Genomic DNA, 26,184 nt, shown 5'->3' on the forward strand with positions numbered 1-26,184 from the left:
TGTTTTAAGCCACTCAGTTCTGGGGTGGCTTGTTTTGCCCCAATATATAATTGAGGCAGCTGTCTGTGTGTCCATTTGTCTCTTTGGCCAGACTTTCTTATTCTTCTTCCTGTCTCCTGATCACAGCAGAGCAGAATATTAAGAGCATGCAGCTGCATCAGAAAGATTTGGATACAAATCTTGATTTTCCTACTTACACGCTGTGTGACCTTAGACAGGTTTCTTAACCTCTCTGAACTTATATTTTCTTTCATCAGTAAGATGCACACACCTTTGGCTTATGGGTTGCGAGTTTGAAATGAGATACTAGTCAGTGCCTGGCACATAACTAGTACTCGTTAAATTTGTTAATCTGCCAATAAATATTTACTGAGCACATACTTCATGCTGATGCTGATCCTGGAATTAGGAGGCTGAACAAGACAGATGAGAGCTCTGCCCTCACAGGGGTTATAGTCCAGAAAGGGAAGACAGAATAAACACTTGAAAAACAAGATGATGGCAGATGGTTACACATGCTCTGAAGCCTATGGGACAGAAAGTCTGAGCCCATGGGACTAAGGCATGACATGGTTCAGGGGATGGGTCTAGGGAAGGCCTCTGTGGGGAGGTGACATCTAAACCAAGAGGTGGTTAATGAGCAGTAGGCAGCCACAAGAAAAGCAGGAGAAAAGGTGCTCTAGGAAGAGGAGCCAGCATATGCAAAGGCCCTGTGGAGGGACAGAAGTGGCAGAGACTGAGGAACCCAGGGGAGGCCAGCGGGGCTGCCACATGGCAGGAGGCGGGGGGCAGGCTGGAGGAGCTGATGCTGTGGCCTAAGTAGGTGGAGGCTGCTTTGTTATTATTGCTGCTGTTATTGACAGTAGCTCAGATTCAAGGCCTGATCCAGAGCAAGTGCTCGGTTCATGCTGGACAAATAGCTGATAAGCGAGGGCTTCAGGCATAACCTGTGTAATGTTTCCATGGAAACTTATCACTGCTTCCTGTTGGTAACCTGAGAGACTCCCAGAGGTCTCTCATCCTCTGGTCCTGCCCTGATCTGGGCTGGGGACTCACTTCCTCTTCCTCTGCATCTCACCCTGAGCCCCAGCTGTCGGGGAGGACGCACAGCACGGGGAATGGAAGCTCTTCCTGTCGCGGACCCTCTGCACACGCACAGCACACCAGGCCCAGATGGCCCTAGGCCAGGCCTCAAAGTTCCAGCCCACGTCAGCCCAGGTCCAGGATGCAGCTGGGCTCATGCAAGAGGAAGAGCTTACGCTGGTGGTGGGGAGTTGGGGAGCAGCCAGTCCACTGTTCTAGACAAAGGAGCTGGCCTGAGACGTGTTCCTCAGGAGACCCCACCACCAGTCACAGCAGCAACACAGTGGAAAGATGCTGTGTGGCCCCAGGACCGGGTCTGCAGCCCCATTCGACAGCTGAAGAAACAGAAGCAAAAGGCAGAGCTGGCCTGCTCTGGAAGGCTGGTGTTTTGAGAGCCAGGTTGTACTCGCCAGCTGGGCATACCTGTGTCCACACACATAGACCCACAAACACAACCTTACATGGTTCTACATGGTTATGAGAGATTCAGACATACATGCTGTTATGTGAGTAGGACAGAGACACAGACACACGCCATCCAACAGGACACTGTCTCTTATGAGGATGTGACATTCAAACATGTCATTCTACACAAGTCACACACACACAAAGCTGAGGACATATCCATTGATGTTTCTGCCCTCACTTCCCAGATAATTGTGCTGAAAAATAGAAACACCTGCACCCTACCAAGCTATTACCCGGCAGCGGCAGGAGCAGGCTAATTAAGCCTTCACAGGAGGCTGGCATTTTCCTGGCAGCCCTGCTGCCCCTCGCTGCCAGGGTGGCCGCCAGCCCGAGTGGCCTTTGTGATGAGCCCCAGGGGGCACACGGCCCAGCCTGTCTCCCTCTCCTCCCTCTCTGGGCCCTGAAATGATTCTGCATCTTGTTCTCCCAAAGGATGCCTCTTGGGCCAATGGCCTGCTTATGAAGATGGCTAGAATGAAACCCTCCCTGAAGCTTGAGGCCTGGATCAGCAGAGACCCTCCCAAAGTTCCCAGTTCTCTGACTGGAGGACATTTGAGGGACCTAAGTTAGCTGTGGACATGAGTGATGGATGCCCTCGGCTGTTCTCTGCCTATTCCAAGGGCTTAACTCCATCCCTCTGGCCAGAATGGGACTCAGTTTCCCCTTCTTGCCACCCTGGGCTTGGTTCTTGGCCATTCTCTCTCACACATTCACCTCTCAGCCACCCTGGACTTCCTGCTCTTCTTCCAATACGCCAAGCTCATGCCTGCCTCAGGGCCTTTGCACCTGCCCTGTTTTCTGTCTGAAACCCTCCCTTCCTTCCAGGTCTTTGCCTGTTCCTCTCATCATTCAGGTCTCAGCTCAAATGGCACCTCCTTAGGAAGCCCGCCCTGACCCACCTAGTTAAAATCTCTCCTCCAGGTGCGCCCCTCAGTTTTTTCTTAATTCAGTGGTTTTCAGCCCTGGCTGCTTGTTAGAATCACCAGGGGAGCTTTTAAAAATAACGGTGCCAGGGCATTGTGTAGGCTAATTAAGAATCTCTGGGATGTGGGTCGTGCATGCTGCCATTATTTTAAAAAACCCTATGTGGTTTGAATGTGCAGTCAGGACTAAGACATCTTGGTCCAGACACTTTTTGGTCAGCAAGAGAAAAGGCCGAATTTTGCAATCCCCTCCCTTCAGTGCTCTCTCCCTAATAGCTCTGTGATATGGGAACTATTATCACACCCATTTTACAGACCAGGAAACTGAGGCTGTAAGTCAGAGAAGTAAAGTACCCAAAGTCACACAGCTGGGAAACTGTAGAACTGGGAATTTAACCCAAGCACCATGGCTCTGGAGTCTGCCTCTTAATCCCAACACTTGGCTGCAGTTGTTTTATTAAATCTCACAACCACTCCATGACACGACATTTTAAAGATGGGGAACCATGGCTCAGAGAGTCAGGAGACATGACCAAGGTCACACAGCCAGGATTCAAACCCAGGTCAGGCCGACTCTAAAGCAGGGGTGTCCAATCTTTTGGCTTCCCTGGGCTACACTGTAAGAAAAAGAATTGTCTTGGGCCATACATAAAATATATGAATACTAACAATAGCTGATGAGCTGAAAAAAAAATTACAAAAAAAAAAATCTTAATGTTTTAAGAAAGGAAGGTTCAGGAATTCGTGTTGGGCCATATTCAAAACCGTCCTGGGAGGCATGTGGCCCGCGGGCTGTGGATTGGACAAGCTTGCTCTAAAGCATAGGAATTTGTGTTGGGCCATATTCAAAGCCTTCCTGGGTTGCATGTGGCCCGCGGACTGTGGATTGGACAGCTTGGCAGCAAGGCAGACCATATCAAATGAGGTCTGGGCCTGAAAACACATCACAACTTCACCCAAGGACCCAGCCTTCCTCTTGGGAAGCATCATCTCTCCCCAGCCTCCCAAGCCCCTTCTCTTTTCCCATCTCTATCACGCCCATTGCCTGGCTGTTTCCTGCTCTGCTGTAAAGCTACATCTCCCAGGAGGATGTGCAGAGTTGCTCTAAAGCATAGAGTACAGGACACAGGGAAGGGACAACTTCATGATCTCTCACGTCCTCATTTCTCCACCTTTTGGGAACCAGCCTCAGGGGGAATGGAGCAGATGGAAGGTTGGCACTAGAGCATGGATCTACTCACTTGCTGCCCATGAATTAATTTCACAGTAGAATAAGTGGCATTGTATATAGCCCTTGTGTGGCAGCCACTGTTCTAGGTATTTTACATATATTGGCTTGACCCTCAAAGAAACCGTATACTCTTCCTCTTTATTTTAGTGACAAGTAATAGGCACACAGAGAATTAAGCAACTCACCCCAAAGCTGCACAGCTAATCATGCAGAGCTAAGATCTGAACTCACGCAGGCTGGTTCCAGAGTCTGTGCTCTCAGTTCCTGCACCATACTCTCCCTCTCAGCTGCCTTGCTTATTGAACTGCGTGAAGCTCACTTTTCTCCCCTATGAATGGGTATAATAGTGCCTACCTCGGATGGAAAATTAGAGGACAAACCCAGAACATGATTGCACAGGCAGGCCCTGGCACAGGGAGGTGCAGAGTAGGCATTTGGTAAGGGAGGTCACTGGACAGCTGGGAGATCATGGACAGCCAGGATGTCACCCCTTCAGCAACCAGCCTGGAGACTTATATACAGTAGGTGCTGAACTGACATGCAACGCGGATGAAGGTGGTGACATTTGGAGGCCACCAGGCTGCAGTTTCCCCAGAGAGGTTCAGGGCTCAGCAGCCCCTTGGGATCTCGAGCTCAGCAAGAGGACCTTTAAATGCCTAGAGACTGCCTACGTGCGTCACCGCTGTCTTCCATTAACGCATAATTGCTCTTGCAGGCGAGTAGCTATGCTCACTAGGGTCAGATTTACAGCAGAGCAGGAAACAGCCAGGCAACGGGCATGACAGAGATGGGAAAAGAGAAGGGGCTTGTGTGGCTGGGGAGAGATGACAATTCCAAAGAAGAAGGCTGGGTCCTTGGGTGAAGTTGTGATGTGTTTTCAGGCCCAGACCTCATTTGATATGGTCCGCCTTGCTGCCCCCACAAAGCACATCGGGGAAATGCCAGCATTTGAGCCTCCAAGCTACATCTCCCAGGAAGATGTGAAAATGTATCCCCTGAATGGGCAGTACTAGGATTAAAGATTTTCTTATGAGTCTCTGTAATGTTCTCCTTATCTATGTAATATCACTGAAATCTGCAACAAGTCATCAAAGACATCCCGTCTGGAAGGTGTGATGGCAGCTTTTTCATTTCAAGGCTCTGGCTTCCTCTCCCGGGAGCTAAGCCCCATGCACACTACTAGGCGTATTGTTCATCACTCCAGCCCTTCAAAGAGATCTCCAAAAGTGCACACACAATCTGCAAGCTGCCGAGTGACCCCTTCACTCACGTGCACCCCACAGATGCCTTAGAGGTTAGGGAAGATCACTGTGCCTCAAATGTGCCATATTTTCTCCTACCACCTTGCCTGGGCACCACCTGTTCCCTCTGCTGGGATGTTCTTGGTCTAGCCACCGTGGCAAATTTCTCCTGGTCCTGCAAGGCTCAGCTCAAGTACTACTTATTTTGCAAAACCTTCCCCAAAGGGGCAGCCTGAATCTCTAAGAAGCCGGGCCAGAGCTCTTAGAGTTATCTTCTCTCGTGTCTGTGTCCCAAGATCAACTGTCCATCCACAGAGCAGCTGATGTAGCCAAACAGTGGTTCTCAAAGTGAGGTCCCAGGACCAGCAACATTACCTTCATCGTTACCTGGGACCTTGTTGGAAATGCTGGATCTCTGCCCCACACCCCAGACTTACTGAATCAGGAACTCTGGGTGTGGGGGCCGGCAACCTGTCCTTCAACAAGCCCTCTAGGTGAGTCTGATACATGCTCAAATTTAAGAACAACTTTGGAAGGGGGATAAGGTGAATTTGGGTATGACTCATCCAGGACAAATATTAGGTTGGTGCAAGAGTAATTGCAGTTGTTGCCATTAAAAGTAATGGCATTACTTTTTGCCATTTAAAGTAATGGCATTAAAAGTACTTTTAATGGTGACAACTGCAATTACTTTTGCACCAACCTGATAACACAAAAAGCAACGACAACAAACGCTACCTACAGGACCATGAGCTAGATGCGTGCCAGGCACTTTACCTGCACTGATTCTTCACAGCAATGCATGAAGAAGATACCCATTACATAGACGAGAAAACTGAGGCTCAGACAGTCACTCATTTCCCTAGGAAACAACTAAGAAGTGATGGCTCCAGCTGCAAACCAACCCCAGTCTAACTACAAAGCCCGTGTGCTATCACAGAAAAACTGTGCGATTTGGAGATTCAAAGGAGGGAGAGACCACATCCAAGTCAGGTTTTTCCTGAATTTTATATTTTCAAAGTATGGTTTTGAAAGATCAAATAATGCTTAAAAAAAAAAAAAGCAAGCTCTTGTTCCTTCCTACCCTTCTCTCATCTCTGCTCTCAGAAGTGACTACTTTCAACTCTTTTAGCTACTTTTTTAGGTATTTACTTCCATACTTTAAAATATCTGTCTTGTATTATTTCTTGTTTCATCGGTTTTAGACTCCACCTCTTGACTTACACTGGATAAGGACTTTTGATCATGAACACCCCCTGTCCCAGGATCACCATGTAATCTTGGGATACATCGGTTCACCTTGTAAACACCATAGATTCATATATGATCTAGATAATTTTCCTTTCAATGGCAGCAAAACTTCTTGAGGGCCTGTGTCTCTAGTTGCCCACAGGTGCTATAAGGGCTAAGGGTAGCTTTTCCCTGCTGCTGTCCCCTCCCAACAGAATTAAATCTCCATTTTTTAAATTAAATTCATAGTCAATGTTTTATAATTGTGACCAAATAAATATTACTAACAGTAGAACCAAGTCATTTGCTACTGATGCTCACTTTCTTGGACTTTTTGTTTTTCCTAGAGCTGATAATTGTTGTGGTCCATTTTCCTGGCTCCTGTGATGTCCTTTTTCTTAGTTGCCTCTTTATAGAATGTCCTAGAATCATCATGAGTTCCATCGTTCCATAGTGAGTTCTCCCTGAAGATTCTCCAGTACCTTCATTCCTCCTGACTGTATGAAATACCCCAGCATCATCCTACAAATCCATATGACCACTTTAGATCACATTCAGCTTTAAGCAGCTTACATAAGAGAGAAGTTTTTGTTTGTTTGCCTTTGGTCCATATCAAGAAACTTAAAATTCAGAGACATGTCCCGGGTGGGCATAGAAGGCCCACGACCATCAAGGACCCAGGCTCCTTCCATCTAGCTGCTTCACTACCCTTAATATCAGCCTCCTAACTCATGGTTCACTGTGGCTGCTTGAGCTCCAACCATTATGTCTGCATTCCAGCCATGAGAAAGAAGAGTACTTCCACTGTATGTAAAACTACATCTTGAAAGTTGCACATGTCATTTTTGTTTGTACTCCTATGTTCACAGCTTAGACACATGGCTATACCTAGCTGCAAGAAAGGCCAGGAAATGTAATCTTTATTCTGAGTGGCTACATTCTCAGCAGAAAAAGTGGAAATCTGAGATCAGGTAAAAAAGGGGAACTGAGAGTTGGGGCAACTGGCAGGCTTGGCCACACCCCCTTTTGCTATAGTTCATTTGAACTTGCATGTCAGCTTCACACCTTTGTTGAGAATATGTGGTGGCCTCTTCCTACATTTCTGGGACCTTTTCTCCACTCTTGCCTTCATTCATTGTGCTTTGGGCACCCCACACTCCTCTGGCCTTGGGGGCCTCCCACACACTGTGCCTCTGCTGGCAGTGACTCCCTGAGAGCCACCTATCCTGGATGCAATGCCTCCCACTCATCCTCCGGTCTTCAGATGAAATGACAGCTCCCCAGAGAATCTTCCCATATCCCAAAGGGTCAGGGTCTGTTAGATGGTCTCACAGCCTTCTGACCCTCTTTGTTACAGCATCCATTGCAATTGTAATTGGTGATTGAGTTGTGTGATCAGTTGTTCACTCACTGTCTCTCTTGCTAGACTATGAGCTCTTGAGGATGGGGCCACCTCTGTCATGTGCATCCACCTGACATGTGGAAGCACAATAAACATTTGTGGCATGAACAGTTGCCTCTTCCTGAATCACACATCCTAACCCCCTTATCCTTCCAGATCAACTAAATGCCCCCTCCTCCAGGAGGTCTTCCTGTGCTCCCTCTGAGACCAGTAGCACCCCCTCCGCCTGAGTGCCCAAGCCCTCTTTGTCACCATCACTTTCTATCACATGCTATTGACTTTAGGGAGCATGCCTCAGCTCCTCTCTGGGCCTGTGAGTTCCTGGAGGGAGGGAGCCACATCTGATTCTTCTGTGTCTCTCACACACATGCACAGGGACAACCCAGAAGACTATCTGGTTCAGCAGCAGAATTGTTGACCAGGAAGCAAGACTCCTGGTGTGGCCTCTGGCTGGCCATGTGACATCCAGCAACAGCCTCACTTTCCCCACCTGGCCTCTTAGGGCCCATCCAGATCCAGCATTCTCTGATACGCCACCTGATGCTGCAGCTCAGGGGCTGCTGAGCTCTACTCTGCATGCCTCTCTCCGTGGGCCATGGGCTTGGGTTCCTGGGAATTTGTTTTCCATTCGGAGATCAAAGGAACAGAAATGCTGGACACCAGGTTCCCAGGCAAAACAAAACAAACATATCAGAGTGGAGAAACTTTTATTAACTTAACAGCTGGCATCAGGCCTCAGAGGAACTGTAACATAATTTGGACAAAAATATTGTGAGGAGTCTTAGGGAGGAAGGTAAGAACTCATGAGTCTGGAGCCAAAGCTTTGGGGCAAGGGAGGATGCTGCCTGTGAGGGGGAAGACTTTGCAGCTTGATGAAGAATACTTCATATTTATTGATACGTTGCTTTGCACTAAGGAAGATGTGTACTTTGTGCTTTAATGTATTGCAGCAATCAAGGTGCTGGATTACAAAAAAAGAACAGAAAGGAAAAAGAGAGAGGGAGAAAAGGAAAATAAAAGAACAGAAAATAACAAAAAAGAAAGGCAAAGGAACCATCTGTGGCTAGCTGAAGCAGTGGAGGAAATCTATTAGAAGGTATATGAGTTAGATATAATATAAGGCACATGGCTATGCAAAGAAGAGAGAGCCCAGAAATAACAGTGGCTTAAATTAGACAGAGATTTCTTTCTTTCTCAGTAAGTAGCCAAAATGTTATGGTAGTTGTCTTAGTTGGTTCAGGATACCATAACAAAATAGCTCAGATTGGGTGAGCTGTGAAATTTATTACTCACAGTTGTAGAGGCTGGGAAGTCCAAGATCAAGATGCTGGCAGATTCAGTGTCTGGTGAGGGCTTCATAGATGGAGCCTTGTTGAAGCATTCTCACATGGCAGAAGGGCAAAAGGGGGTGAAGGGGTGAACAGAACCCCTTGAGCCCTTTCTAGGAGCATGAATCCCATTTGTAAGGGTAGAGCCCTCATGGCCAATTGCCTCCTAAAGGCCCCATCTCTTAATACTATTGCATTGGGGATTAAGTTTCAACATGAATTTTGGAGGGGTATAACCATTGAAATCATAGCAGTGGTTCTGCTTCAAGAAGTTTTCAGGCCCTGGTTTGTGGATCCCCTAACCCTAGGTATTGCCCTCAGGATGTGGTCCAGGAAGCCTTACTCCATATCCACATTCTAGCCAGGAGGGAAGGGAGAAAGCAAGGGGGAAGGAATGCTCCTTCCTTGGAAGGCACCACCTGGAAGGTGCCCACCTCTCTTCTGCTCACACCTGCTGTCCACAGCACAGTCAATGGCCACACTTGGAACAAGGGAACCTGGAAAAGCCATTGTAATCTAAGCAGTCATTGGCCCAGCTAAATAATCTATTACTACATAAGCAGGAAGATGGCTCTTGGGAGGATCCACAAGTCTCTGCCACCGATGAGATTGGGCAGCCTAGATAATTGTTGGCAAGAGTGAGGAATCAGGCTTAGAAAACTGGTAGGAGTCAAACTAGCCACAGGGCAGGACCCCAGCCCCATCATACTAATGGACAGGCTGGCTGGGGTATGTCACCACTGCTGCCACTGGGAAGGATTTCCCGTCTGTTCCTGCATCTTTGCACAAGATCCAGAAGGGCAGCGTTCTGCAGGTGGAGTCAACGTCACAGGCCCAGGTACCAACTGCCAGGGGGTGGAGAGGAAAGACTTCAGGACCCCTCACTGACTTCCGTGGAAGGAAAGGGTACGGGACCCACCCACACTAGAGGCAACTGAGAATTGCTCCCCAAATGTGATGGGAGTTGGATATCTGATGATGTGTACCACCCCTTGAAAGCCAAAAGCAAATGTTCATGACACATGCCATTTCATCCTCACAGCCATCTAGTGAGGTGAATCTCTTCATAAGCCCCAGCGTTCAAGAGAAATTGAGGAGCATAACTGGAGTCACATTTGTCACTCACTTACGTAGCGCTTCCTATGAGCTAGGCATGGTTGTAAGCAGATTACAAATATTAACTTTTAAAATTTGTCTTAGCTTCAGAACAACCAATTAGGACATCTTAGTATCCCCATTTTATAGAAGCACCAAATGGCAAGGGGATTTGCTCAGGATCACAAAATTACTAAGCAGGAGCAAAACTGGGATTTGAACCCAGACACTCTGGCTCCAAGTCTGTGCCTATAACCACTATTCTACACTGCTAGCAAATGTAAGAAATACCCAGGGAAAGATATATGGCTGTGCATTCTGAGATGAGGCCCAGCCCCAGGCTTTCCAAACAATTTTTCGTAAAAGATGTTAATTTCACGAATGCTTTATGTGAATTCTTGTTGTTGCTGCTATTCCGGAAACCAAGCAGATTTCATGTCAGGGTCAGTGAGGCACAGTTCAGAGATAGCTGCTACAGGAAACTGGGGACCAGGAGGAAGAAAGACTCTGAGAAGTGAGTATTTCCCCTTACCTCCCCGCCATCCCCTGCAGGAAGTTAGGAAAAATATAGAAGAAGGCTTTGAACTTCACTAGGTCTTAGAACAAAGGGCATGATGACAATCATTTAGGCTTTAGAAGTAGGGTGGCCAACAGCCGCCATCTCGGTCACCCAAACTCTAAAGCCAGCAAGCAAGGGGCTCAGCCTCCCATGCCCTGTAGACCCTTCATATACACACAGAAGATCCTGGAGCTTCAGTCAGGGCTACTACCTGGGAACTGAACTTACAAATTTAAATTTTACGTACTTACCCAGTCCTGACTCCAGTCCAACACAGTGCTCTGAGCAGGCTGCAGCCCCAGAAGGCTGACAAAGAGCAAAGGGGTCTGCAAAATCCACCAAGGAGCTATCCATCTCCAGAATTTAGCCAGGGCATCCCATGGCTTATCCTAGGGTGCTGGGCCCTAGGGTGAGCAGCTTTGGGGGAGCCCCATGTCAGAGACAGAGCTATGCCTACTGCAGACACTTCCCTTCCTCCTGCCAGGCCATGGCTGGTGTGAGAGCTGGCGCGCTGGGAGTTGTTGGGTCCTCAGAGGCCTGCCGTCTATTCCCTGCATCAAGGAGGCTCAAGGTGTCATTGATTGAGTCACACCACACCTTAATACCACTAATCAGGTCCCCAAGCATGAAGAGACCCCACTCCTTATCCCCTCAAAATTCACAGGCCAAGGGGCAACAACTACTGTAACACATGTAAGTATATATTGCTAATTATTATTATTGTTGTTGTTGTTATTCTAGCCATTATCTTTTAGTATTTGCAGTGCCAGATTAGGCTGTTGACATTTGCTATCTTTGGCCCTGCCACGACATGTGAGGCAGGGATCCCATCTCCATCCTGCAGATGAAGAAATGGAAGCTTGGAAAGACGAACGGACGATCATGAAGCTTGCAAAAGGCAGAACCAGGATGCAAGCCCCTTCCCCATGCTGGATGAAGATCACATCACCACCAAGAACAGAGAATGGCTCGCCCTTCTAGGAGCAAAACAGACAGTTTTGAGGCAGCCTGAAGAAAAATGTCATCAGAGGGAGGGTTGACGGACTGATCAGCAAGACTGTCTCCTTGAGGGCCCCTTACCTTGGTCTCCAGGAGACATACTCGGGGCCCCAGCATGCCAGGATGAACCCTGAGGGAATTCCAGCTGTCCCTGGAGAGCTTCACACCCACAGCCCAGCTGGAGGGGCACATCGGAGAAGCCGTTTTGTATCACGTGATGCCTTCCCTGACATCCGTAGCTGATTGGACCAGGGGTGAATGGCTAATCCAGGAGAAGCCAGTCCACTGTGGGGCCAGAGACCTACTTTTCTTTCACTAAAAATATGAACTAAGGAATATGAAGACTCTGGTTAATGGGTGGTGGTTCTGGGTCTGTGTCTGTGGAATTGGGGCTTTGGACCCCACAGTAGGTCAATGTTGGCAAGCATATTTTTTTATGCTCCCTCTCCCAACAGACCAGCAGACTTTTGCTTGCATGTCTTGGACCAAAATTATAGGAGGAAAGAAGCCACAAGGATGCAGAGTAAGTAGATTTTCAGAGAAGAATGGAACAGAGACACACACACACAAAAAGCAGCAGCATAGAAGACTATACTGAAGAAGGAGAGAGAGAGGAAACAAATGACAGAAAGATACTTTCTTGGTCCCTCCCCATTCCAGGTTTCATGAGATCCCCATTTTATTTCCGTGATATTTGTACCCTCCCCAACCTGAATTGAGCTATTTTGCAGGGCTTCTATTATTTGCAATGAAACAATCTCTGACTAACAGGAAATTTGAATAGACTTGCAAATAATAAGCTCTTGGAGGAAATATGAGCTGACTATGGGATCAAAGAAAATAGAGAGGCAATGAGGATTGTGGTAGATTAAATGGCCATAAATTCCTCCCATCTCAGTACAGCCTCTTCTTTGTAACATGATTGTGCTGAGTCTCCCAGCCAGGGGTGGAGTTCTTTCTCTATCCCCTTAAACCTAAGCTAGCCAGTGGCAATAGAATCTGGCAGAAGTGATGTTGTGTGAATTTCAGAGCCCAGGCCTCAAGAGGCCATTCAGTTTCTGCCTTTGCCCTCTGGGCATGCTACCCTGAGCCTACTCATGTAAGCAAGCCCAGGTTAGCCTGGAGGATGACAGACCACATGGAGGAGAACCCAGGCACCCCAGCCAATAGCCAGCACCAACTGCCAGTCCTCCAGCTGCATGCAGCCATATTTAAGTGAGCCCAGCAGAAACAGCAGAGGAACCACCCAGACAACATGAGAAGTGCTAGATTATTGTTTTAAACCAAGTTTTGGGGTAGGTTTTATACTGCCATTGATAACAGTTAATAAAAATTGGTACCTGGAAGTAGGCTGCTTCCATAAAGCAAAGCTGAACGATGTACATTGGCCCTGGAACCCAGACATTGGGTGGAGGCTAAGGGAACTGGGGAAACCATCCATGGAGGCTGGAGTAGGTGGACTGTAAGCATATTGCCATTGGAGGTTGAAGAAAGGGGACTCATGTTATGTCATGGCAGAACCGTTGGCAAGGCTGTCACCAAAGAAACTTGGGAAATAGAAAATGTGCCAAATGGACTTATGGATCTGGCTAAGGAGATTTCCAAGCAGAGCCTGGAAAGAGCTAATTGGCTCCTTTTAGGGTTGTATGATAAGGCACAGGAAGAGAGATGAACCAAAACTATTTAGTTGGTAAGAAAAATTTAGAGGTAACAGAAGAACAGAATATGCGGAGTTGAAAAATAAAACTGTTCTTTATCCCTTAACCTTTCTTGGAAAAATATTCTGAGTGAAAACAACCTTAGGGTTAAGACAGAATCAAGGCTGTAAAAACCCTTTGTTAAGACCTCAAAATGATTTCAAGTGATGCCCAGCAGTGCCTCACAGCTGTACAAAAGGGCTTCTAAGAACCTTAAGAGTATTGAGCTACAGCAGCTGGACATGCCCAAAGTGGAAAAAAAAACCTGTCTCAAAGAGAATTATGTGGCTTTGGGAGCACTGAATGCCCCCAGTAAGATTCATAGAAAACCCACAATGTTTGAGGGAATTGTATTAACAAGAGTATCACTAGTTCGGACTAAAAGGGACTAAGACAGTTTCAAATGAAAAGAGTACTCTGGGCCTCTGAATTTACAAGCAGAAAGCTGACCATGAAAGCTATTTAGTTGCAAAAAAATTCATATGGAATAGGAGAATCTCAGAGAGCAGAGGCAGGAGCTCAAAGAATGGAGGCAAGAGCTAAAAAGAACAATGAACTGGAGACCACCACCAGGAAGCCAAGCTAGGCCCTAATCAAGGAGCGTCTCCTATCCCCAGAGGAGGTGGACTTGACAAGATGTGCCTGGATAGATTTCAAAATTGCTAGGGACCAGAGATTTTTACATGCCTAATGGTCCTTCCTTGTTATGGATTGTGTCCATAATGTCTTGCCATTGTATGTTGGGTGTCTGCAGGTTCAAACAACTTGCCTTTTTATTTCACAAATGTTGGATGGAGAGGAGCCCCACTGACATCCAAACCTGATCTAGACCATGAGACTTTGGATAATGATCCTGATGCTATAAGTAGGGTAAGATTTATGGGGGCTTGGAGACAGGATACACATAATTTCCTGTGGAAAGAACATGAATAATTTGTGGCCAGAAGGCAGATGTGGTAGGACTTGTAATGGCTGCAATCCAATCCCACATGTTTACCCCTTTGCAATGTAGAATCTATTCCATCCCCTCAAATCTAAGGTGGTCTTTGGATTGCTTTCACTAATAGAATGTGGCAGAAGTGAGATTGTGTGAGTTTTACAGGCTAAATGCCAGGAGACATTTGACTACTGAGTTTGCTCTTTTGAAACAGACATGAGATCTGGAGCTCCAGCAGCCATCTTGTGACCAAGAGACTTCAAGCATAAGATGAAAAACAAGGATCTCCAAGAAGACAGACTGGAATTCTGGACTTCTGATGGCATTGTTGAGGCCTGAACTATAACCCCAATCACCTACTGCAAGATGAGGAAATAACACCTTATTGATTTAGGGCCTAAATTTCAGGCCAGTGGTTCTGAAAGTCTGGGACTAATTTGAACATCACCAGCATCACGTAGAGACTCATCAGAAAAGCAAATTCATGAGCCCCCGTCAGATGTGCATCATCACAAACTCTGAGCTATCTGAGGTTTAACAAATCCTCCAGGTGATTCTAATGCACATTGAAGTTTAGGAACCCATTGGCACAAGTGACTGGTTAACCTAGTACTTGTTTACTTACATCTGAGTGCAAGCTTCATTGATACCACATCTCTGAGCTTTTGCTCAAAGCCTTTTCTCTGCCTCTAATGCCCAATTTTCCTCCTCTCTGCCAGTCTTTCTTACTAAATGAATTAATTTCAATCATAGAAACCAAGAATGGCAAAAATTCAGCTGCTGCAGTTTGGCAAGGTGTATGGTTATTTTCTGAATTTGGTCTCAGCAGTCTCAGAGGGCTGGATACAAGCAAAAAGCTACAAAATTGCCCTATTTAAAAATTTTTTTTTGGTTCCAGATGGAAAACCCAGAATTAGTGTTTGTCTCTCTCCCTTTTACATTAGACCAGAAGGAGTGTTCAGTGTGTGCCAGGATTCTTCTTTTCAGCAGCCACAGGTCCCCAAGGCTCCCCTCTCATTAGGGTCACAAGCCAGGCCTGCAGCTTATCCACTGTGGGCTGCTAGCATGTCGAAGCAGACAGTTGTTTTCATTAGATTTTGCCGCATAGCAAGTCTTGCCAAATCTTGGTAGTGTAAGTGACAATAATGTATTATTTTCCTGATTCTGTAGTTGATCAGGCAGTTCTTCTGCTGGTCGGGCAGTTCTTCTGCTGGTCTTACCTGCATTCTGCTGGAAGATCAGCTGTGGACTGAGTAGCTGTGATGCTGGGCCCTTCTATCTCCACGTGGTCTTTCAGCCCAGATTTCTTTATGGCATGGTTGTGTCAGGGCAGAGTATTTAAGGAAGGAAGAGAGTAGAAGATGATCTGTGGAGTCGTGGAGTTTGATTCCTTTACCAGGAATTCAAAGCTTTGTTTGAAAGACCAATCCCCCTCCACCTACTGCTCGCTCCAACTCCCCCTACCAAATTGTCAGGTGCATATCATGGACTGTTGCTGGCTGTAAATATACTGGGAAGCTGAGTGAGTAGCTTTCTCACCTCCCTAGTAGAGGCATGCAGGGAAAAGGGGATGGGAAATGAAGGTACAGTGTGTGTCACTGATGTGAAGGTCCCTGGCTTGCCAAACAACGGGCTGTAGCAAAAAATTCTGGAGTCTAGTCTTGCTGGAATCGAGTGAGGAACATCATAGGCACCCAATCAATGTTTATGAATGAAAGCCAAGAGTGGGTGCAGAAGGAACAATGGGATGAGACTTCTTCCCATTGGGATGATCTTGGATACGTCACTTTATTCTCTAAATCCGTTTCCTTTTCTGTGAAAAAAGCAAATTACTGCATGGGGTTGTGTGGACATTAAATGAGATATTATATGTAAAAGGGTCCTCAGTGGGGCCTTTTCCCCTGAAAGGTGAGGTGGAACCTGGGGTTTGCAGCTTAATGTAGCCTCCAATGGCCAAAGGCTTGCTGTAGGCTGGGCTCCATGCTAAACCCTTTGTGTCCTTTTTTCATTTCCTTTCCATGATAGCATTCCCATTCAGATGAGAAAACTGGGGATCATAGAGGCTTTGAGAGGTTCCAGCTGGTAAGCAGAGAGCAAAGGCTCAAACCAGGTCTGTTGGGCTCCAAGCATGCACCCCTAATCACTACTCTAAATTGCTTTTACAGAAAAATAAGTCAATGCAGAGCTTCCAACACCATCAGCTCACTGTGGTTCTGCCTTCATGGGCCAGTAACTCAGCCAAAGCCTGGAGATTCTGGAAACTGCCTCCATTGCCTTTGCTGTCCCTGCCCCTCTGCTGGAAGTCGCCCACAGGTGCCAGCTGGGGCCAGCCTCCCCCAAGACTGCCTCCCCCATCAGGAGTGGAGTCCTGCCAGGTTAGCAGAGCGGCTTCCAATTAGACATCATCTCCTGCCCAGGCAGGAGGCAGAAAGCAGGCGGAGCTCAGTGGGGTGCAGGCAGTTAGAGGGTAATTAGATGTGGATGCGGAACAGCTCCCTTAATGAGAAGGCTGCTGTGGGTGAGGGACACGCAAGAGAAGCATCACTTCAGGCACCTGCCGCCACCAGCATCTGGCCCTGGGCAGGCTGGGGAAGGAAAAAAGAATTCACGTTATTTGTGGCCCAGGCTCTGTGCTGGCTACAGGGCTCCTTTACCCTCATAACACCCTCCCAAGGGCAGGAATAGCATCCTATCCTGCAGAGGAGAACACTGAGACTCAGGGAAGGAAAACACTGCTCAACCCCTCCAGGGCACACAGCTAGAATGTGGCAGACAAAGAGGTTAAGAGGTCTCAATCCCAGGTCTGAGCCCTTTCTCCTCTAGCACACCACTGCCCCCATGTTCTTCATCTGCTCTCATCCTCTGACACTAGAGCATCTGATGGGCACTCATAGTTGACACCAAGGATGATATTCAAATTATTCCTCACCTGGTATGGCAGGGCTATGACCAGCTAGAACACACCCAGGCCTTCTGGAGGCCTGAAGCAGGGTCCTGAAGGGCCCTGGTTGTGGCAAGCATTAATCCCTTGGTTGCTGGATTGTGAGAAGGATCTCAGGAGAGGGCTGGGGTGGTTGGAACAGCTGTGGTGGTAAAAATACTCAGGGGCTTGGGGGAGCAGCTTTTAACCAACTGGTATAAAAGAATCTCAGTTTTTAATAACCAGCATTGCTCTAATAACCAACACATGTCGAAAGAACCTTCATCTCCTATTGGGTCTACCCTTAAAGGTAACGTTTGCTTCTATGCCAGAGGGCTGGAACCAAGGAGGCTGCTAGTGGCATCCTGTTGAACACACCCCGCCCTTCACCCAGAGCTGGCACCCAATGCCCAAGATGAGTGACTCATGCTGTCTCCCCAGAGCAAGCAAGAGAGGGAACAGAGACTTCCCAGGCAGGAGCAGCCAGCCTCAGGGAAGCCCCCATCTGGCTGAGGCAATCTAGTCCATCTGGAAAAGGGGAGAATGTGCCAAACACTACAGCAGCTGTGCCCAAATCAAGTTCTGCAGATCCAAAAAGTTGTCCTCAGCAAAGAGGGTTCCTTGAGTAAATCTGTTTGGGAAATACCGCATGCCCCACACTCCCTCAGGACAGTCACAGCACAGATTGGCATATTCAAGGTTCTGAGAAATTCCAGGGTAAAAAGGCCTTCCGATTTTATGTAACCTCACATTTTCCAGGCACATTTAATTACAGAGCCTGCTCTTTGTTTAGCCCTAATGGGACTCAGAGGGCATGAGTTTACCTTGGGATGCAGCTTGGGAAACACCATTATAGACAGATCCCTTCTTTCATCCCAGCAGCCCAGACTTTGCCTCTCAGCCAAAGCTAATACCAAGGGTGGGTCTGTGTCCTGCTGGCAAAGGGTGAACAGATCCAGGGGAAAGGGAGGCAAGGTGTGGGGGAGTGAGTGCTGATCTGCACTCCAAGGCCCCCAAAAATGCTCCTTTACTCCCCCTGCATAGTATCCTTCCAGAAAATAATCAAAGCCAATCAATCCACAGGCTGGGAGCTCAAGAGATGCTCAGCCCTCCCTTGAGCTGGAAGAGAGGTTTAAGGCTGCAGCCCAGCCCCTGAGCACCAGGAAACAGTCCTGTTGTGGACTCCATGTCTGTGTCTTCCCAAACATCCTATGTGAAGCTCTAACCCCCAATGTGATGATATTTGGAGACGGGGCCTTTGGGAAGTACTTAAGTTTGATGAGTTAATAAGGGTGGGGCCCCCACGATGGAATTGGTGTCCTTGTAAGACCAGAGGAAGAGATGCTGGAACTAACTAACTCTCTCTCTCTCTCTCTCTCTCCCCCTCCCATGTGAGGTCATAGTGAGAAGATGGCTGTCTACAATCAGGAAGAGAGCTCTTACCAGGAACCAAATCTGCCAGAACCTTGATCATGGACTTCCAGACTTTAGAAATATGAGAATTCCTGTTGTTTAAGCCACCTAGTCTATGGTATTTTATTATGACAGCCAGAACTGACTAAGATGAGTCCCTTGGTCCCAAGAACTCTGGACTAGAATAGACATGTTCAAGTATGGGTTTTACTTCTGACCTGCTGTGTGACCTCAGCAAGTCACTTAACCTCTCTGAACCTCAGTTTCCATCGGTGTAATTGGATGATAACACTTAGATCACTGGGTTGTGGAAAGACTCAATAATGATGACAGCCACACTTATAGAGCACTAACTGTGTGCCCTGCGTGTCTGCTTGGTGTATAACCTCTGTCCTAGATTCTAGCTTTGTGCGGAGTGGACATCCCATGATGGATGCAGGGAAATAATGGGTGTATCTTAGCCTGGGTCTCCAGAAAGCAGAGCCAACAACAGAGGCTTAGCTGTGAGAGCGTGTTGCAGGGACTAGGAGCGTGTGCCAGGAGTCGCAGGCTGGCGATGGTGATGAGCTCTGAACAGAGTCAGTCCATCCCATGGGACTGCCAGAAGGACTCATCCAAAGAAGAAAGAGGGAGCGTTTATCACAGGTTCCATCTCCCCCAGGCTAAGAACGCCCCACGGGGAAGGTTCCCACCGGGCATCAACTTCCCCCATACTTCTAGGCTGTGCGTGTGTCTCAGTGGTCCCATTGTGAACTGGTACCCAGCCCAGAAATCCTTGATTTTGCTCTCCTTTCTGACACCTCAAATCTAATCTGTCAGCAAGACTGCTGGCTCTTCTCTTGAAACATTTCCAGAATCTCACTACTTTTGATCACATCCAGTGCTCCTGCCCCGGTGATAATCATCGGAATTACCAGCCTCCTAACTGGCCACCTGCTTCCCCTCTTGACCCCTCACTCTGCCCAGCAATCGGCTGATCTTTTCACAAGTAAATCAGAGCGGGTCACTCTGCAGCTTGAAACTTACAAGCCTGCAACCTACCTTCCCTTTACACCTGAGAACTTACCATGCTGAGCAGGGCCCCAAATTATACAGCCCCAAACGGGTCAGGTCTCATTTTTGTCACATTTCCCCAGGTCAATCCACTCTAGCCACACTGGATTCCCTTCTTCAGCCCACCAACCTCACGGCCTTTGTACCTGCTGTTTCCTCTGCCTGGAACAGTCTTCCCCTGGTTTTCTAAAAGGACCACTCCTTCACTGCTATCGTCTCTGCTCAAATATTTCCTTCCCAACCATTCTTTCCAAAAACAAACAAAAAACATCACCCCACCCACTGTCTACTCCCTGCCCTTCTTCTCTTGTCCTTGCAGCACTTACCCTTGCGTGGTGTCATATTATACTTTAGTCTCCAGCAAGTCTATCTGATGGAACTTCCTATAAGGATAGACATGTTCCACAACCCACGCTACTCAATACAATAGCCACTGACCACATATGGCTGTTGAGCACTTGAAATGCAGCCATTGTATCAGAGGAACTGAATTTTTAGTTTTGTTTCATTTTAAATACTTTGAATTTCCATTGCCCCGTGTGGCTAGTGGTTTCCACAGAGGATAGTGAAATTCTATAGTCTCAGTCTCCCCCAAAAGAATATTAGCGCTATGAGGATGACTCTTATCCCTTTTGTTCATAGATATGTCTAGGGCCTAACATATTTCCTTTTCTTTTCTTTTTTATTTTTATTGAGGCAGAGTCTCACTCTGTTGCCCAGGCAGGAGTGCAGTGGCGTGATCTCGGCTCACTGCAACCTCTGCCTCCCGGGTTCAAGTGATTCTCCCGCCTCAGCCTTCCAAGTAGCTGGGATTACAGGCGCCCACCACCACGCCCAGCTAATTTTTGTATTTTTAGTAGAGATGGGTTTCACCCTGTTGGTCAGGCTGGTCTCAAACTCCTGACCTCAGGTGATCTGCCCGCCTTGGTCTCCTAAAGTGCTGGGATTACAGGCATGAGCCACCGCACCCGGTGCCCTAGCACACAAAGTAGGTGCTCAAAAAAGACTGGAGAATGAGTGACTCTATTATTATAGAATTACGTTCTCTTTTTTCCTTTTACATGAATGAGGGAACTAGAACCCAGAGACGGTAAGTGTTCAGCCAGCCACACACAGTGAGTTCCTGCCCACTGAATAACTTCCCTCCTCCACTCCTGTCCACTCTGCTCCCTGGTGGCTTGTTGGCAGCAGGGAACTGATTAAAACCAATCAGCCAATTTACCCTGGAGAATCCGGGATGTGGTGCTCCAGGTCGCAGCTGGCATGGGCTGAGACTGCAGGTGAAGGCATAGGTGTCTGTGCTGCCTCCACGAGCCAGTGGGGGTGGACGGAGATCCACGGGGTGCGTGAGTCACAGGATATTGCTCAAGATGACAACAGACAAAAAACAGACTAAAGCCCAGGAGACGACCAAGTGATTACTTTTTAAATCAAGAACTCTTTACAGATTTCTGCTAGGCCAGCCTCAGGCAACAGGGGTCAAAGAAGAGTCTAGCTGGGAATTGTAAAAGGAAACAGGAAACTTGTTTCCTGCCGATTGGCAGGAAGTGTGAGCAGGAGTGGTTTATATTTGGAAAGAGAAAGGTAAGGAGGGGGACCTAGGGAGTCTCTGTGGTCTGAAAATGCTGTTGACGTGGACAGTCCACCTTGCTGAGCTCAGCGTTGCCCCGATCTCCTGGGAGTGAGGACGGGCGCGGTTCCGATGCTTCACAGCGTGAATCTGCATCTTTTATTCACCTTCTCTAAGCCTCAGTTTCCTCATCTGCACAATGAAGAGAAGGAAGCCCACCCCCCACCCCCAGGAGATGTGAAATGTCAATAGACCAGTGTATGAAGTGCCCTGCACATAGCCGGTGCTTAGCAAATGGTAGCTTATGATATTATTGTCATCAAAGTCTCCGGGTGCTGTGAAAGATAGGAAGGTCAGAAAATACTTTTCTGAGCTCGTGACAAACTGGGCCTTGGACGAGCAGGCAAGGTGAGAAGGAAGCGCCAGGCAGAGGGAACAGCCTGACCAAAGGCTCAGAGGTGGGACGGGGGGGAGCTTATTTGGGCCACACAACTGGCAGGTCCTGATTCTCACCCCACTCCCAACTATGACTTTGGGAGGCTGTCTGTCTGTCCTGCCTCCTCCTCCTCCTCCCAATGGCTATCTCGGTGGGAGTCCTAGGGAGCAGGGTGAGGGCACTGGGGGAAGGAGAGGCAGGTTTTGGCGGCTCGGGCAGGTGGCAGTGGCAAGGGCCAGAGAGAACAGGCTGTGGTCTAGTTAATCAGCCCGGACACATCTGATTACCAAGAGGGGACGAGGACAGTCCCAAGGAGGGGCAGGACATCCTACATCTCTCCATCTAGGGTTGCTAGATTTAGCAAAAACAACAGACAAACAGAAAACAGGATGCCCAGTTAAATTTGGATCTCAGATAAATAGCAAATAATTTTTTAGCATAAGTGTGGAGAAGCCAAGACATACTTCTACCGAAAAATTTATTGTTTATATGAAACTCAAAAAGTATTCATTGTTTATCCATAACTGGGCATCCTGTATGCAGGCCTAGAGCTTGGTTGACAGTGTGGCCTTCATAACCAGGGCACCCTGGGCCAGGCCTGAGACCAACCGGACCCCTCAAAGTGGCCCCCTGTTGCTCCCCAATGGGGTTCAAGGGCCAAGGTCAGACCCACCCATTTCCCACCTTTGCCCAGTATCACACCACCCCCATTCCTTTTTTTTTTTTTTTAGATGGAGTTTTGCTCTTGTTGCCCAGGCTGAAGTGCAATGGAGCGATCTTGGCTCATTGCAACCTCTGCCTCCCAGGTTCAAGCAATTCTCCTGCCTCAGTCTCCTGAGTAGCTGAGATTACAGGCATACGCCACCACGCCCAGCTAATTTTGTATTTTTAGTAGAGATGGGCTTTCTCCATGTTGGTCAGGCTGGTCTCGAACTCCTGACCTCAGGTGATCCACCCACCTTGGCCTCCCAAAGTGTTTGGATTACAGGCGTGAGCCACCACGCCTGGCACCACCCCTATTCCAACCCCCATGTTCCTGCCTCCAGAACTTTACCCTTGTCATGCCTCTGGCCTGGAGCGCATTTCTTTTTTCTTCTTTTTTCTTTCTTTTTTTTTTTTTTTATTTTGAGATGGAGTCTCACTCTGTTGCCCAGGCTGGAGTGCAGTGGTGCCATCTCAGTTCACTGCAAGCTCTGCCTCCCGGGTTCACACCATTCTCCTGCCTCAGCCTCCCGAGTAGCTGGGACTACAGGTGCCTGCCACCATGCCGGCTAATTTTTTGTATTTTTAGTAAAGACGGGTTTCACCGTGTTAGCCAGGATGGTCTTGATGTCCTGACCTCGTGATCTGCCTGCCTCAGCTTCCCAAAGTGCTGGGATGACAGGCGCAAGCCACCACGCCCAGCCAAAGCACATTTCTTTCACTGTCTCCCCTACTTAATTCTAACTTTCCTGCCAGATAGAACTCACTTCAGTCCTCACCTTCTTGACCTCCTAGACGAGTTCCCTTGTTCTTAGTGTATCTTACAGCCCTGAACCTTCCTTTGGCTGCATACAGACACCATTCTGTTTACCTGTGAAACCCTCTGGTTTTGGTCCACACATCTTTGGCTTCCCATGCTACCCTGTGCCTGGGCCCAGACCCAGCGTTAGCAAGTACTCTGGCCATTTTTATTGTGTGAATGAACAGGAACTATTCCAGGAAATGGGAGGAGGCAGATAAGGAAGGTCTGAAGCACCCATGTGGTTGCCTCACATCTTCCCCAGAGAACAGGATCCTTACCAAACCACTGACCTGGCCTTCTGTCTCCAGGCAGGACAGGAGCCCATGGCCACGGTCAAGGGGACAGAGCTCGTGAGGGAGGCCAAGAGCTGACATCCCAGCTCTGCACCCCCGCCATTGTTCACTGTGGGCAGCCCTCGACCGCCCTCTGAGGCCCTACTACTCCCCTAAGTAATGCTGACCCTCACCCCCCCAGCTCTGCCTACTGTGAGTCTTGTCCCTGAAAACTGCATATTCTTTTGAGAGGGACATTGGTCTCCCCTGCCCCGGGAGGCTACAATCTCTGGACAGCCATAGGCAGCCAGGGCCTGTCCATCTTCTGTCCTCAGCTGCTCGCGCAGTGTCTGCACTTAGCACGAGCTCAGTGGTTAGCGGTAGGGTGAATGAATGAGTAAATAGCACATTTCCTCCACATCGTGTCAGTTTGTCAGGGACTGGGGGAAAGGGAGAGAGGCAGCAGTGGCAGATGGCCATTGGGACCAGGAGTAGGGACTAAAAAGGGAAGATGATGAGCACAGGGAAGGAGCCTGATCCACAGGCACGCTACTCTACGTTGATGTCATCTTGGACGAAACCCAGGAGGACTGGCTTATCACAAATTATGTCTCCCCAGGCTAGCGTTATCATCTGATTTCGAACAAATTACAGAATTAAGGGGGTGGGGCTGGGCCTGTCCTATATTTGGCTCTGGCATATCAGCGGAGCCAGTGAGCGTCTTCTGGGCTCGTGCACGCAAACCTGATTAAGGTCAGTTTGGGCAGGAAAGTCGCATGCTCCCCCAGATGGCCAAGGATCTCACAGACAGGAGGTGGAGGCAGGGAGGAGCCAGTCAGCCTGAGACACACGCACCTCCAGCCGCCAGTCCGCCAGTTCCCACTAACTCAAATGATGTAGCTGTGGCTGGGTGGGGGGCGGCAGCTGGCAGATGCTGTGTTGACAGAAGGTATTTCTAGCACCTCTGATGAGGACCAGATTATGCCCAGCATCCAGGGAGGTTGGGAGCGTGTGCAAGAGAAACCAAGGAGGTGGGAATGAGTACATCTTGTAGAAAAGGAGGGGGAGGCTGGGAGGTGGGAGAAGCTGGGAGCGGGGGCTGCGGTGGTGTGAATTAGAGCAGGGCTTCTGATTTCTCTTGCAGCCTTAGCTCTTGCTACCTGTAGAGGACATCTGGTGTTTTTGTCTGCTTAACATTTATTTCCTTCCTTCTGGAAACGTCATCCTGATTTGGCTTTGAGGAAATACCCTGCCTCCACTCTTGGCCCATGTAGCCCAGGCAGGGCCGACCCCACCCCTCAGATTCACAGGTGGGCCCAAGCCTCAGCCTGGAGTACAGCCCTGAGTGCAGGGCCTGACTCAGGGATGGCTTGGCATAGAAGCTGGGTCAACCAGTGTCAGCACTGAGACTGTGGTTGGAATGACTGGGAAATCAATATTTTTTCCCAATTGAGACTGAAGCAGGGAGCAGGGAACCCCTAAGATGTGGCTAGGCTCTATCTCAGAAAAAAGCCAGTGCCAAAGAAAGCAGAACAAGAAAAATGAAACAAGAAAGAAGAAATCGAAATGACATAGTTTGAGCACCTGGATCCAGCTGCACCTGAAGCTCATCTCTTGGACTCTTCTGAAAACACGAGCAAAAAATCCCCTTTCAGCTGAATTTCTGTAATTTTCACCCCCCCACCAAAAAAAACTTGATTATTTTTAGTCCTACACTCACGCCATATGAGCCTAGTTGCAGGTTCTCAGAACAGATTGAACACCACCCCCTCCAGATTGTTACTCGGGCTGTAACCTCTCCCAGGAATACCATCCCAGTCTCACAGTCTCTTGTTAAAACGCTACTCTACCCTTCACTCAAATGTCACCTACTTCAAGGCACATCCCAAGATGCTGCATTCAAGATGTTTCCTCTTTGACGCTCCCAGAGCTGACTGAGTGGACCTTTGTTATGGGGCGCGGGGCAATGGAGCTGAGGCTGCACCATGTTTGTGAGTATTTAACCCTCTCTTCATTGAGCCCAGCACTGTGCCAGGAGCTTAACAAGTATGTTCTCCTTTCATCTTCACACCTGCTCCTTGAGGTAGTATCTCTACAATCTCTATCCCGCTGGTGCACCGTTGACCCAGGGAGGCTGAGAGACATGCTTCATGTCGAAGGTAAGAGCCTGGATCAGGCCTGCAGAGTTCCATCTCTAGCCTGCCATGTCATGCTGGCCTCTGGCCTCATTTGCCTGCCAGGGTCTTTCTCCCACCTTTTACTGCAGTGACCAACGTGAAAAGTGGAGGGCTTAAGAGTGTAAACTCTGGAGTCACCCTGCTTGGGTTCAAATGCAAGCTCAACTTCCCAGGAGCTGTGTGACCTTGGGCAAATAACTCCTCTGAGCTTCCCTTTCTTTTTTAAAAAATCAGAATAAAATACACTTAATGTAAAATTTACTGTCTTAACCATGTTTAAGCGTACAGCTTAGTAGCATGAACTACATTCACACTGCTATGCAACCATCACCACCGCCCAGCTCCAGAACTCTTTATCTTGCAAAACTAAAATTTTGTACCCATGAAACAATGACTCCTCATTCCCCCAAGTCCCAGCCCCTGGCAGCCACCATTCCACTTTCTGTCTCTATGAATTTGAACACTCTAGGAACCTCACATAGGTAGAATCATACAGTATTTGTCCATTTGTGACTCACTTATTTCACCTAACATAATGTCACGAAGGTTTATCCATGTCATAGCGTGTTTCACTTTCCTTCCTCTTTAAGGCTAAATAATATTCCATTGTATGTCTTCCACGTGATCCCTAAACTGAGGCTAGAAT

The 26,184-nt window shown here is 48.1% G+C and overlaps 1 long non-coding RNA gene across 1 annotated transcript in view, besides 3 other annotated features; it reads left to right on the forward strand.

Moving 5' to 3' along the window:
• The window catches only part of LOC105376650 (uncharacterized), a 35,979-nt gene extending 17,104 nt beyond the window's left edge, over positions 1-18,875 (forward strand). The window contains exons 2-3 of the long non-coding RNA XR_931237.3: positions 16,359-16,568; positions 18,517-18,875. This is a non-coding gene — a long non-coding RNA (uncharacterized LOC105376650). The remainder of the gene's footprint in view (positions 1-16,358; positions 16,569-18,516) is intronic.
• Positions 16,154-16,655: an enhancer, noted in NCBI's record as "H3K4me1 hESC enhancer chr11:45062883-45063384 (GRCh37/hg19 assembly coordinates)". NCBI's record gives its function as "activates a minimal SCP1, AML or CMV promoter by ChIP-STARR-seq in naive H9 embryonic stem cells {active_cell/tissue: H9 hESC(naive)}" and the evidence as "EXISTENCE:reporter gene assay evidence [ECO:0000049][PMID:30033119]".
• Positions 24,200-24,699: an enhancer, noted in NCBI's record as "H3K4me1 hESC enhancer chr11:45070929-45071428 (GRCh37/hg19 assembly coordinates)". NCBI's record gives its function as "activates a minimal SCP1, AML or CMV promoter by ChIP-STARR-seq in naive H9 embryonic stem cells {active_cell/tissue: H9 hESC(naive)}" and the evidence as "EXISTENCE:reporter gene assay evidence [ECO:0000049][PMID:30033119]".
• Positions 25,589-25,776: a silencer, noted in NCBI's record as "fragment chr11:45072318-45072505 (GRCh37/hg19 assembly coordinates)". NCBI's record gives its function as "represses an EF-1alpha promoter that drives an FKBP-Casp9 reporter gene in an ReSE screen in HepG2 liver carcinoma cells {active_cell/tissue: HepG2}" and the evidence as "EXISTENCE:reporter gene assay evidence [ECO:0000049][PMID:32094911]".

This window comes from Homo sapiens, chromosome 11 (assembly GCF_000001405.40).
Source record: "Homo sapiens chromosome 11, GRCh38.p14 Primary Assembly".
Taxonomy (NCBI): Eukaryota; Metazoa; Chordata; class Mammalia; order Primates; family Hominidae; genus Homo; species Homo sapiens.